General features: G+C 40.7%; 1 pseudogene, besides 1 other annotated feature; it reads right to left on the reverse strand.

Annotated features, from left to right (window-relative positions):
* Window positions 223-1422: an enhancer, noted in NCBI's record as "CDK7 strongly-dependent group 2 enhancer chr2:36514299-36515498 (GRCh37/hg19 assembly coordinates)". NCBI's record gives its function as "activates an origin of replication core promoter dependent on BRD2, BRD4, P300/CBP, MED14 and CDK7 cofactors, with strong dependence on CDK7, by STARR-seq in HCT116 cells {active_cell/tissue: HCT116}" and the evidence as "EXISTENCE:reporter gene assay evidence [ECO:0000049][PMID:35650434]".
* On the reverse strand, window positions 12426-12951 carry RPL21P36 (ribosomal protein L21 pseudogene 36; annotated as a pseudogene).

The following is a 15076-nucleotide window of genomic DNA, read 5'->3' on the forward strand; positions in this document are numbered from 1 at the left end:
CAACAGCTCATTTATTTTTGTATCCCCTACAGTGCCTTGCACTGTGCTGAAAATAGAATGAATCGATACTATGTATTTGAACCACAGAAAAAGGAATCTTGATTTGTGAATGTTGAAATTCAGTGAGAGTGTAGGAAGGAAAACATTATCTGGAAAGAAATCCAAATGACATAAAAACAGTGTTGAGCTATATATGAAATAATCCAGCACTCAAAAAGCAAAGTTCTGAGTCTTTACCATAAAAGTTCAAAGTTTTTTACTGTAGCCTAGTGAAGAAACATGAAATTAGGAGTTGAATTGAATTAGTTTTGAATATGTGTGTACCATTCATTAGATATTTAACCTTGAACATATTATTTACACTTCCTGAGTTTCAGAACCTCTTATTGAGAGTGAAAGGAATGTTCATCTTGTATCCTTGAGTCAAGATTTAAATGAGGAAAGATATAAAGGTATCCTGAATAAGGCTCAGTATATAAAGCATATACAGTAAGTGACTAATAATGCTAGTTCTGTTGAATATGACTTGATACGTGCTAGTATGTAAAAAAATAAACAATGCAAGCCCAGCTTATCTTTCAGGAAGAGCCAAGAGACATGACATCAGCCATTAACTGAACAAAAGGAGACGAAATGAGTTAAGACAAGACAATAAGCACAGGCCTTTGTGAATATTGGGAAAAGACCAAGCTCATGTGCTGGGTATGATGCAATGCTTCTCTGTCTCTTCTTCTAAGTCCTGCAAAACATTTAAGATATAAAATGGGAATTGATTTTATCAGAACAATTCACAGAATAATTGAACCAGAAAATGTGTATTTCACTTTTACAGAGATGATTTTCAAGAACACTCATAGCTTATACAGAGTCCCTCATGGAAAAAAGAACCACCGAAATGAAACCTTGATCGATGACCACAGAGGAGGAAACTAGAGTAGGGGTGCATGTCCTAACATTAGAGTAGTTTCAAAAATAGCCCCCAAAGGGATTCTTAAGTTCCTCAAGCAAAGTGGGAGAGCAAACAGAAGACACAGAAGATTTGCTGTTCTGTGTGTCCCCTTAGCCAATGCCCTTCCTTCCCCACACCCCTATCTGTTGATTCTTGGGCCTCTGTGATTCATGACAGCATCATCATGGAAACTGGGGGCCACACCAAAGAAAATGGTTGCACCCAGGAAATCATCGACACTAAGTTTTCACAATTTGAATGATCTAAGCACCCATACTACCACTGATGCCACCTCATCTAACTTGTCCAACTCTCTTCCATCACTACTATCCTTCGTCACCAAGCCATGCCTGCTGCAGGGAGAGCCAGAACCACAGAATCCAAAGCTCTAAAGAGAGTACAGTTTCCACTCACTGGTTTTCCAAGGGCTTAGTGGTACTTCTGCCCAAATCCAAAAATCATAGACTTAGAAACAATACTTCAACGGGGGAAAAACAAAACCTTCAAAATACTTCCTGCAATATGATATTCCAGGGGTGAAAAGTGATTATGAAAATCCTTGGTGTTACAGTCAGTGGAATGATACACCCTATGTACTGAAGGATGTATGTCCAAAAGAAAGTTGGACTTACAGGAGCTTTTATAAGAGGAAAGCTTGTTTGTTTCCTCTTGTAAACAAGGGTTGCTTCCTGGAAGATTTCAACAAGGAGGGTTAGAAACAATGACATGAACCAAATAAATGATGCAAATAAATTAAAAACAACAACAATAACCAGCCTCTGGAATTAGAAGTGATTACATACACCATGACTTATGATAGGGGAAATTATGACAAATGCGTAAAAGTATAACTTTGAAGTCTAATGGGTTGGTCACGTTTCTCCATACAAATAACCACACCACACTCACAACCATAAGATATATTTCAAAAGACTAGAGTTTCCTCCACTTCAAGCTTTCTCTTCTCAGATCTTTCCAACTGCAGCTTTTGTCCTCATGTTAGCAATGACTATAGCAGGCAAAGGTTAGAGTCTGCATAAATGAAGCTGGTCCCCTTTGTTTGATGGATCCAACATTACACCGACCAAGTAAACATCCTCCTTTCTTAGCACCATAGACACACTGGCTCTCCCTCCTCATTTCGCCTGATAGAAAATGCACCAAGCTACAAATGTATGTGTTATCAAAGTGCCAAGGCCAAATCCAAAACAATTAGTGTAAAATCAATTTAATCAATCAAAACAAATTACAAATATGGCACTGTATTATTGTATGTACATGTATTGAATTATATGTCATTGTTATCATTGGATTATTGTATTTCAATAAATTGCAGTGCAAAAAACTTACTTTTCAAGCACATGCTATATGAAAAACATAACATTTTCATCAAGTAGAAATTGAAAATAAGTGTTAAAATGTTCAATGTAAAGCATATAATTAATATATGATTTCACAGTCCAGGTCAGTTGAAATATTATTACAGAGAAGAGCAATTAAGAGAATTTTAAATTACTAAAGCTTATTAATAAATGAGAAAATGATATTAGAAACAACTATATTTAATGAAGTCAAATGAAACTATATTTATTTAGTACTGTCTCTTCACAGCTTTAGATAAAAGTTTATTCTAGAACAATGACCTAAAATATAAGAGGTCTTTAATTTATTAGGTGCTCCCTTAATGTATTTACTAGTGGTATCCAGTGAATCCCTAGTATGTAAAATGTGTTTATTCCAAAATTTAAATAATCATTGGCTGAATTTTGGCAAGTAGGCAATATAGTCTCTACTTCATGCAATAATTGCAAATGTAATAAGAGATTTATCAAGGCATAGCCAAGGACGGAGTTTACATTGTGTCTTATTTTATTGTATTTACAGCTAATATATATTGAGTGCTCACTCTGTACTAAGCACTTGATCAGCATTGTTTCATTTAATGCTAGAAACATTCCTATGAGGTTGGTAATAACGATTGCCTCCATTTGACAAAAATTAGGAACCTGAGGCAAAGAGAACTTGGGTAGCTTGCCAAGGTCACACACTAGTAAATGGCAGAGTCATGACCTAAATGAAGTCCACTACCAGTTCTCCATTGGATTGCATCAGAATGTCTGGGCTATTTGCAGGTAATGGGATCTCAGTTAAATCTTGGATTTTGCCTAAAACAGACATTATTTCTGAGTATTAAAATGTTAAATGTGTTGTGTGATTTAAAAAATATTTATGAAATCCAAACTCTTTCATTTATTAATGGCTGGTTAATGGTTTGTAAATAAAGCTCAACCTGTTAAGCCAAACAAACAAAAAATTAGCTTATTAGTTTGGAATGTAAATTGAGAACTCATTAACTGGCTACTGTTTTTCCTGCTGCTATATTTGGTCTTTAGTTAGCACATGGAGTGTATAGCAAGAATAGAGGAGGTTGGCTTTCCTGGTAAGAAAACGCATAAAACCTTTCAACTTTATTAAATCCTCCAAATCTCTGCTATCCCCATCTGTTGCCATGTAGTATTACAGCATGTGCTATGCAGTGCAAAGACACAATGTTAACGGGGTTGAGAAAATGGGCTCATTCTTCCTTAGAAGCAAAAATCTGGCACTTTTCCTTGACCACAGAAAACACCAGAAATTCTTGGCCATCTACTTTGCAGATGCCAGCTACTGATTGTCAGTATGGTCAGGCAACAGCCTATGAGCGGCATTAACCAAATACATCACGACTAATGGAAAAACACTCAAAATGTATGCCACTGCTAAGGGTGTGTTAGTAATAACATTTTTGCACACAAACAACAGACACATTTATTACTTGACTTTTCATTCATTGACGAATCATTATGGGAAGGCACTAGATAGATGGGCATAGCATGCAAAAATAAATATTTGTTCTCAGCTAGTCATTTCTTCTCGCTTTTGACTGCATTATCCTGTAACATCTGTTTCTCAAACAATGGTAGGTTATAGAATTATGACACAAATACTTAACAGAATTCCATTCCTCAGAGAAAAACAAAAATAAAGCCTCAGGGCTCTGATTAGCTTTATTAGAGTGCTAGAAATAGGACTATATTACTGGAAAAACACTTCGAGATACTGCTCTTTGAATCAGAATAATTAGTATCTGAAACAAGAGAACTATGTTGTCTTTCTAAATGTTAACTCCAAAAATTCTGGAGTTAACAAAAATGTTAACTCCAGAAAATTGTGAGGTCCAAACCCTGCTGTCTTCACCATGATGATGGGCTGTGAGTCCTAATACAGTGTTCCTTTTGGAAATGACCAGAAGTAGAAGACAGGGCCTTGGATGTTAAACTCTAATTGAACCCAAGTCTCATAAGATTGATCTCCATTCTATAATTTTAGGATTTGTCTTGTCGTTATCATCCCTTTTATAATCAGCGTCAAATAAAATCTCCTGCTACTTTTACAAACATTCTGAAGTTGACGCATGCTAGCAAGTAAGCTTGTCAAACTTCAGAAATGCATCTACAGGAGAAATGTTGGGATTTTAAAAGCAAACACAGACTCCAATCTTTACCTTGGCAATCTTTAACTTGCCAAGTTACTTACTGCATAGTATTAACAACATTTATTCTACATAGCAAAGTCACCAGGCCTGCTTGCTCAGTGGATAGACTGAGCTTGGTAAGGAGTCCTCCGGTGCATCAGCTTAGCTGATCCTGGCATTCACAAAGTAGGAAGCTGACTGTGTATTTTGTGGGCTTCACCTTTTGCCTCGACCAGAAATCCTCACTATTAAAGCGTATTGTAAGATTCAGATACAGAAGAAGAATGCCCCCCTGGGGACACATGGTCATACTAAGCTCCAGGGGACACTACTACAGTTACCCTGGGATAATAATGGATCCCAGAGGGTGTCTCAGTGGAAGATTGGGACAGGAAGGACCCATCTCAAAGTTAGGAGATCCATGCTAGGAGCCTGAAAGCTAGAGAGGTGGAAGGAAAATACCAAAGAAGATAGCCTGAGTCACCAGGATAGCTATTATACTATCAAGAGGCTCATAAATCTGCTCTTGAAATAGAGTTGCCAGACTTAAATAAATATGCAGGATACACAGACACTCCAATAAATTTGAATTTCAGATAAACAACAGATAATTTTTTAGTATAAGTATGTCCCATGCAATATTCGGGACATCTGTACATTAAAAACTCATGTTTACCTGAAATTCAAATTTAAATAGGCATTTTGCATTTTATCTGGTCCCCTTACTCCTTGGAATGACTGATTTTCAGTCTGAGTTATATCTACATGCCTGGGTTTAGCAGAGCAGTGATTCTCTTAAGTGTAGTTCCTTCACCAGAAGCAGCAGTAGTAGCTAAGAAGCTGTTAGAAATGCAGATTATCCAGGCCAGGCGTGGTGGCTCACGCCCATAATTCCAACACTTTGGGAGGTCAAGACGGGTGGATTGCTTGAGGCCAGGAGTTCAAGACCAACCGGGCAACATGGCAAAACCCCATCTCTACAAAAATTAGCTGGGTGTGGTGGCACATGCCTATAGTCCCAGGTGCTAGGGAGGCTGAGTTGGGAGGATCACTTGAGCCTGGGAAGTCAAGGCTGCAGTGAACTATGATTAGGCCACTGAATTTCAGCCTAGGTGGTAGAGCAAGACCCTGTCTTGGGAAAAAAAAAAAAAGAAGACAAAGGCCTGGCACAGTGGCTAATGCCTATATGCCCATAATCCCAAGCATTTTGGGAGGCCAAGCCAGGAGGATCACCTGAGGTCGGGAGTTGAAGACCAGCCTGGCCAAGATGGCAAAATCCTGTCTCTACTAAAAGTACAAAAATTAGCCAGCCATGGTAGAGTGCACCTGTAATCCCAGCTACTCAGGAGGCTAAGGCAGGAGACCCAGGAACCAGAGGCTGCAGTGAGTCAAGAATGTGCCATTGCACTCTAGCCTGGGCAACAGAGTGAGACTCTGTCTCAAAAAAAAAAAAAAAGAAAGAAAGAAAGAAAGAAACGCAAATTCTCATTCCCATAGCAGACCTACTCCAGGGGTAGGGTCCAGCAATTATACCAAAATCTCTGGGAGATTCTACTGTACACTCAAGTTGGAGAAAGCGAGCATTAGAAGCCCTAGAAACAGCACTTAGTACATAGTATTAACAACATTTATTCTACATAGCAAAGTCACCAGGCCTGCTTGCTCAGTGAACAGACTGAGATTGATAAGGAGTCCTCTCTGGTACACCAGAACTGTAGAGGTTAGGAGAGATAAAATGAATAAAAGATAACCTGATTGAAGGAGAAAGGGAGTCAGGAACAATCCCAGGTACATCGGCGGTATTGAAAACACTATTTGATTCTCCACTTCTGTGTATTCTGGCTGTGCTCATTAGGTTTGGTTTCTGCCATTTCCTAGTTCCCTCCAGCAACTATTAGTAAGACTGTTATAATAAAGAGTTTGCAAGCTTATCTTCAGGGACACTGAAGATGGAAACACCAGCCATTTTTGAAGGGAGAGTGACTTAATAGAAAAAAAAAAAAAAATGAAGTCTTGGGCCTGGGGCAAAAAAAAGGAAATAGCCTCCAAGGACCTACAAATAAGCCCTGGAGGATTCCAAGCAGAAAGATGCTTGCTTTCCTGGCAGGAGTACGGTGCTGAGCCTTAAGGCTAGCTTTCTCCGCTCACTGTCATGCTTAGGGAGGAAACACCGCGCAGCCCCTCCCTGTGAATCCCGCAGTGTGCCAGCGTGTTGCAGTGAATGGGGAGAAGGCCAGGCTAGTGCCTCTGTCTAACCATGATCCCATAATCTGGTTCAAGCTACCTGACAAGACTGTTCCAGAACATCTGTGGTGTCTGCCTGGGTCGGTCCCTTCCCCACACCAGCTTCCCAGAAGGCTGACCTGGCTGCAAACCCTCCCCCTCCTCCTAACTAGCAAAACTTGATTCTCATTTAAGCTAAAGACGTAAAGCTCTCTTCTTACTTTGGAAATGCAGAGGGAAGGAACTCAATGTATCTTAACTGACTCTTAAATTCATCTGTTCTTTGCTTAAGTAGAACGATGCAGTGTAGCCTAGTGGTTAAGGGCACAAGCTCCCCAGCCTTGCTCTGCACTTGGCAACTCTGCCTGTTTTCTCTCTGTAGATAATCATATCACCTGTCTTTGTGTACTGCTGTGAGGATTAAATAATCAATGCATCTAAAGTTTAAAACAATACCCGGCTCACAGAAAGGGCTCAATAAGTGTTAGCTATTATTTTTACTAATTATTACTACTGCCACTAGTATCACCATTGCCAATTGAAGTCATATTCCCTGGATTCAGTGTTTGGATCGGAAGGAAGAAAAGAGTTCTATAACATCAGGGAGATAAAACACTTAGTTCTCTAGGCTGTGCTCCCCAAAATTGTTCTGTGCTTCCTAAGAATCAACTTAGAAGCTTATTATATATACAAATTCTGGGTCTCCATGTCACAGCTCTGATTTGGCCAGCACCACGTGGAGCCCCAGAATCTGCATGTGTAATAAGTACTCTCGGAGTGTCTGATGGTTTCTGAGGTTCAGGAACCACTGCTCTGGGAGAGGGCATTTCTCAAACCACAGGTGACCGCAGCTTTCCTGAATGACACATTCTTCCATTCCATCAATGTCTTCCTTCCACTTCAAGTTAACCTCTTGAAAAGTTAATTGATGCAAAGTATGAAATGATGTATTATGAGACTCTCAGCTCTGTTGGCATCCAGAGAGGCTATTTCACCATAGTGATGAAAGAGCAGTAATAATAGCTGCATGTGTTGAGAATTTACAGTATGCCAGGCACTGTACCAGGCAGCTTTTATACATGACATCTATCCTTTATAGGAAAGTAGTAGTATTCTCATTTTACAAATGAGAAAACAGGAAGACCAAGAAGTTAAGCATTTTGCCAAGGTCATTCTACTGTGAAATGACATAGCCAAGATTCAGGTCTGTAAGACAATAAAGCTGAGGTATTTTCCTCCATTCCAGTAGCTCTCAATCATTATAGTGTGTGGCATGGGAAGAGGGGAGTCACTTGAAAAACTCTCTAAAAAGTCAGATTCCTGGGCCCAAAACACAAAGATGCTGGTTCAATAAGTCCAGTTGGGGCCTAGAAACCTGCGTTTTAATAGGCAGCCCATTTAATTCTGATGCAGGTGGTTTAGCTTACATTTTGAGAAGCAGTACTCAATACAATTTATCTCACCTTGATTTAAAATCCCTTCAATTCTGGTGAATATAAAAGAGGTTCAAATAAGTCCAAGAATTTCCTAGAATGATAGTTTCATGTTAATTTGTAAATGTTTAAATAAAAGTTATGTGATTAGCACTTGCTTTGAAGAAATCTTAACTTTTGTTATCTCCTCAAATGGCAGCAGATAAATAACCAAGCTCCCTTTTGGATTATGTCTGCAATAGAGATACTACTCTGAGGAAGATTAATTGTCTTCAAAGGGCTCTTGTTGTTGCTTTTTGTTTTCTAGCCATGGTGCCTAGATGAAATATACTTCCTTTTACATTATCTTGAAAGTAGAAATTATGTTCAGGTTCATGAGTGGAAGACACAGACTTTCCCATTTTTCTTTATTCTAAAATAACTACAAAAATCCTTTAAACATCTGCAGTGCAGACAAGTAGAAAATTACTAACATTTACAACACAGTGTACAATAATATCAATTATAAAGTTTATGCACAGAACCAGAAAAACAATGACTTCACTTAATCTCAAAACCCAGATATAATCTTGATACGAGTCCCCTGTACAGGTTGGTTGTGAACATTTGCTCCAGGCCACAGAACATTAGTTCCCTTTCTAGAAAGCACAGGCTACATGCCTGACCCATAGTCCCAGGAAGGCAGAGGGGACCCTTGTCACAAATCAGCTGAGTGAGGAAAAAACTTGAGTTGTGACAGAGACTCAAAATTGAAAGAATGCCAAAATATCCCATTCTGAGATAAGTGCGAAGAGACAGCTCTCTCCTGCATGTTGCCCTCAAAAGCATCAAAATGGGCAGGCCAGATAGATGGAAAGAGGCCTTAGTCAGCTCTCTTAACCTTTCCAAGCCTCAGTTTCCTCATCTGTAAATTGGCTGTAGGAGACGGGGGACACAAGAGACAATTCCTTTCTAATGGAGTTGTTATAAGGATTATATGAGTTCATTTTTATGCAGTTCTTACCACAGTGCCCAGTAAAATGGCGTGTAGAAAATACTCAAAAAATATTGCAATTATTAATTTTCCAACAACAAATAAGTTAGAAATACTAAAAAGGCTGCAGGACATAGTAAAAAGGAAAGGGAATGTATTAGTCCGTTCTCACATTGCTGTAAAGAACTACCTGAGACTGGGTAGTTTACAAAGAAAAGAGATTTAATTGACTCACAGTTCTGCAGGCTGTGCAGAAGGGATGGCTGGGGAGGCCTCAGGAAACTCACAGTCAAGGCAGAAGGCAAAGGGGAAGTAGGCACATCTTCACATGGCAACAGGAGAGAAAGAGTGAAGAGGGAAGTGCTACACACCTTTAAACAACCAGATCTTGTGAGAACTCACTATCAGGAGAACAACATGAGGGAAATCTGCACCCGTGATCCAATCACCTCCCACTAGGCCCCTCCTCCAATACTGAAGATCTTAATTCAACATGAGATTTAGGTGGGGACACAGAGCCAAACTATATCAGGGAGATGGTCAAATAGTGTTTTCAGTAGTCTTTTAACAGTCATTACATTACTCACGTTAGCGAAGTGCCTCGGTTTAAAATAAATAGCTGCACAACCTGATCATAAAGAAGTACTATATGATCATTTGCAGAGGAGGCAATCTGGTGAGTACACCTTTCACTAATGTTTCAGGCAACAAATTTTACCTAAATACAAATGAGTTCACATCAGGCTCTTCTAAGGTGTCAATGTTCCCTGCTACAGAAAAGCTAAGGAAATCTGTCTGTGTTCTTTTTGTAACAAATGCCTGCTAATCGAAAGTAAAAGACTCTCTCAGGCTTTACTTCTCAGGTACAAAGCACTATTTCTCTGATTAATGATCCAGATATCTGCAGTAACTGCAAAGCGAACGTTCTCTAGTTCTAACAGAGTCAGCTACCTCTGCCCAGGTGTTAAGCCCGTGCCCTCATCCTGGGGGGTGTTTGGTAATTAGCAGTGCCAGCAGGTGTTTGCACTTGCTGCTGTTCCTGGTAGTTAAGCATATGTGTCAGGTCCCTGTTGCAGGGAGAAGAAAAGGGGAAATAAATGATTCACCCTAGCTCCAGCAAGGTCAGCTCCTTCCAGAAGAAAAAACAGACTTTTTGTCTCTGCATCAAGCACTCTCCTTGTTCATCCTCTAAAATCCTCAGCTAATTTTGAAGTTAGCATTGGCACTTGCTCCTGCTTTCATTTAGCAATACCTCTTTAGGATGGCTCTCTCCAAATGGCTCTCTTGAAATTTGCTGTGCTCTGGGCCTTTATGACCTGATTTTCTGCAATTAAAATTCCTCTTTCTTGAAATGTACCACATTCTCTCCAACTCTACTCCCTGACTGTCAAGGGATTGCTTAGCCAGGCTAATAAGGAATTTTGCTAAGGGATGATGAGTGCCCGAGTGTTGTGGGAAAAAGATTTTATTCCACATTAACCTTGCTCCCACAAAATATACTCAGATGACTGGCTCTGTGTAGGGTCTGGAGGAAGCAAGATTTGTAGCATTTGCCAATTTCCATGGTGTAAATTCTCCCACATGGCCAATGCCAAGGTACCAACATGGCAGAGCTAGGAAGAGATCCACAGAATCGGCTCTCATATATTGGTATGAGTGCACTCCAGCACACCCCTGGCTCCTGCAGGATTCACAGTGATTTCCTAAGTGTCATGATTCCCAGGAAGTGAGAATATTATGACTAGATGTGGTTGATTTAAGAGACATTTTAAGGCAAAAAGGGGTCACATGGAATATTTAAGATTGCATTGCAGACTTCTGCAAGATAGCAAAATAAACTCACATGTTTAATTCGTCTCCTTCCAGACAGCCTCTTAAAAAAAAAAAAAACTAAATGATAAAAAATGTATAAACCTACAGCAAGAAACGAGGGGAGGAAAGCCATCAGAGGATGATAGATTTTGGCAAATTTCTGTGAGACAGAAAGCAGATGGAGCGGTGACAGATAACACAGGGCCGAGGCAGCCGCCCCAGAAACACTTGCAGAAAGGACACCGATGGAAACCTGATCTGGCTTGCCCAGAGCTCTACACTCTGGGAAGACAAAGACTGTGGAATGGGTGAGGAAAGGAACTAAAAGTCACAAGGAGTATTGGGAAGTCACATGGTTCATGCTATCGGAAATGCTTGGTACCTGCTGGATGACAAATAATGGGGTGAAAACATCTAGAGGGAAACCCCGCAAATCTGGGGAGGTTTGAACTACATAACTCTTCAAGATCCCTGGAATTCCAACCAGATGAACATCCTCAGAGACTCCACCCTAGCGATTCAGATCAATCACCAAGTGTTGGAGTATCTAGTTCTACCCAGCCTTGGGAGGCCTCTCAAATGCATATATATATATCAGTCAACGAGCAACTGTGTTAGTGTGTGCTTACTGCAAGAGCAGCCTAAATACTTTGTACTGAGCAAGGTGTCACCTGATACTTCAACAGAGAAGAATATGGGAGCAGACAATTGAGACATTTAGCCTACTTAGTATTTTGAGAAACACAAACTTGAGGTGGCAGATGACTCTGCTGTCAGGTAAAAGGCTGTGACCCTGAAGAACTTGCTTATTTCACAAACATTCTCATCTCAAAGTCTATATAAGCACCCTGTGCATCCATTAAACAAATATAGGTGCACCTACTAAGTACCAGTTCTCTGCTACATGTTGAGGAGACAAAGAGATGAGTCAGGCTGGGCGCAGTGGCTCATGTCTGTAATCCCAGCACCTTGTGAGGCTGAGAAGAGAGGATTGCTTGAGGCCAGGAGTTCGAGAACAGCCTGGGCAACAAAGTGAGACACCAACTTTACAAGAAACATAAAAAATTGGTGGCATGTGCCTGTAGTCCCTACTTGGGAGGCTGAGGTAGGAAGATAGCTTGAGCCCAGGAGTTACAGTTTGCAGTGAGCTAGGATGATGCCACTGCACTCCAGCCTGGGTGATGGTGTGAGATACTGTCTTTAAAAAATAAAACTTAAAAATGAAAAATTTAAAAAAATAATCAGGTAAGGTTTGACCTGAATTTGCTTTCATAGAGCAGGAGCAATAAAATTTGTCTCCATATAACTGTGAGGACACAGGAGCCAACAGTGCCATGAGAGAGGAAGAGGGTGGCAAGGCGGTTCCTAAGGGAGATGGAATATTTCCAGCTGGGAGTGGGGGACATTGGGATGCCAGGGATGCCAGACAAAACACAGGACACACATGTAAATCTGTTTTTTGGCTTTAAAGATTTATTTGGGGGAGGGGACATCACACTTCTACTCAGTGAAAAGAAACATCCAGAGGTCTTTTATTTTTTTTACGTCTATTATGCAATGACTCCAGAGGGAAGAGGTTCCAGCAGCTCAGGCTCCTTCCCATTGGTTCTTACACAGTGTTCTCTAATGGAGCAGGCTGGCGCTTCAGTCAAACCCAGGTACCTTTCTCTTTGGCTTCCTTGTTTTTCTGATCATTTTCCTTCACACATTTCAGGAAGCTATCTTGACTCTCAGAGTGCTTAACGTGCACAATCTACACATCAATTCTCTTGGCAAGAATCTTGCCCCTACCTTGTTTATTTACAAAAATGCCAACAGCATGCTGGGTAGTATTGTAGACTCTTCCAGTTTTGCCATGGTAACACTTGTGGGGCCTTCCTTTTTGGACAGTACCCATTCCCTTGATGTCTACAATATTACCTTTCTTATAAGAGCAACTCAATATTTTCTGAAAGGCCTGGAGGACATCTATCAGGTGCCTCTCCTCTTTCCCTCTACGTTCATCACTTTGGCAAATTACTGAAAGATGGCAGTTCCAGCCAAAAGGCCCAGTTAAATTTTAATTTCAGATAAACAACAAATATTTTTTCAGTAAAACCTTGAAAACCACTGTGGCTTGGTTTATAGGGCAGGTAGGATATACATTGTCATGGAGACTGGGGACAATGCATTCCAGGAAAATAGGAAATACAGTTAGTTTTTCCATTTTTGAGTTAAATATCACCTTCCCATAAGAGTCTTCTCTGATTTCCGTGTTTAAAATCTCAACCTCCTGGCCAGGCATGGTGGCTCACGCCTGTAATCCCAGCAGTTTGGGAGGCTGAGGTGGATCACTTGAGGTTAGGAGTTTGAGACCAGCCTGGCCAACATGGTGAAACCCCACCTCTACTAAAAATACCAAAAAAAGAAAAAAAAAAAACCAGGCATTGTGGTGCATGCCTGTAATCCCAGCTACTCGGTAGGCTGAGGCAGGAGAATCACTTGAGCCCAGGAAGCGGAGGTTGTGGTGAGCCAAGTTCCTGCCACCACACTCCAGCCTGGGCGACAGAGTGAGACGCCATCTCACAAAAAAAAACACAGAAATCTCACCCTCCTGTTCCTGCAGTATTTTTCTCCATAGCATTCCTCACTACATGACATATCATGTCTTTGTTTGTTTATTGTTTCTCTCTCCCTTCCAGAATATTAGTGCAGGAAAAGTTGTCTATGTTTGTTCACTATTATATTCCTATGCCTCCAACAATGCATGGAATAAAGTAGGTGCTCAAAAGATATTTTTGACTGAATGAATGACAAATGAACAAGTAAATAAACAAAATTGGCAAGACTAATTTTTTTCCTCGTGACTGACACTGGAAAAATACTTAGTTTGTGTTTGTTGAAACGTGAAAACACTAATACAATCCCAACCCTGATGTGGCATTCAAACTGAATGGGGACAGAAAAAGACGGTAACAGAAGAAACTACGGGATCTTAAAGAAACATGAATTTAACCAAGAATCACAAATAGTGTATGCAAAACCTGTTTCACTTCTGCCAAGCCAGGGGCTGTTGCAGTGATTGTAGAACTCAGGTCAGCAACTGAATCACTCTGAGAGGTTGGACTTGGGCAATGATCTCACTGGCCAAGAAGGAGGCAGAGTCTCTAGCCCCTCTCAGCATCCAGAACAGTCTAATTCCTTGCCCGGGGAACCACTTTCCTCCACAGACCACATGTCCTCAGAAGGCAAACACCACCACTGTATTAGTCCGTTTTCACACTGCTATAAAGATATACCGGAGGCTGGGTAATTTATAAAGAAAGGTTTAATTGCCTCAAAGTTCTGCATGGCTAGGAAGGCCTCAGGAAACACAATCATGGTGGAGGTGGAAGCAGGCATGTCTTACACGGCAGCAGGCCAGAGAGCATGTGACAGAAGCATAAGGGGAAGAGCCCCCCCAAAACCATCAGATCTCATGAGAACTCACTCACTATCATGAGAACAGCATGGGGGAAACTGCAACTATGATCCAGTCACCTCCCACCAGGTCCCTCCCTCAACACCTGGGGATTGCGATTCAAGATGAGATTTGGGTGGGGTACAAAGCCAAACCATTTCAACCACCTAGCATTCTGATGCTGGTTTCCTCCAGAGCAATTGCCCAGCCTCAGTGATGTCCTTCAGAGGTAATAAAGAGACCAAGTGAAGGAGGGGCATGTATCCCAAATAGAAAGGGATCATATATTAAAACAAAAATCAGGAAAGCCTACTTTTACATACCACCTGTGGGAGTCAGGGATTGTGTGGAGGTTTCTCAGATTCTGCACATTGTCGCTATGCCCCTCCCTGATCTCAGGAGAAGCCTACACAAAAGCGACATCTCCTGCAAATAAAGTCAGGCTTGGTCCCTGTCAACCTGCTCTTGTATAACATGCTCCCTGTCAAGAAAGACGCATGCATCTGTAGATGTTAATTGACAGGTAGATTTAAGATAGGAGACTCTCAGAAAAGAGGAATCTGATGGAACTTCCACTTAACAGCTACTGCATCACTAAGACCATTTATCACTTAGCTAATACAGTCAGTGTATTCCTAATACTTTCTGAATTTACAGGTCACCAAACTGCTTTAAAAAAATCAACAAGTGCAGATAGAGCTCTGTTTCTTACATGGCAGTATATTTGCGCCGC

This window comes from Homo sapiens, chromosome 2 (genome assembly GCF_000001405.40).
Source record: "Homo sapiens chromosome 2, GRCh38.p14 Primary Assembly".
NCBI classification, from domain to species: Eukaryota; Metazoa; Chordata; class Mammalia; order Primates; family Hominidae; genus Homo; species Homo sapiens.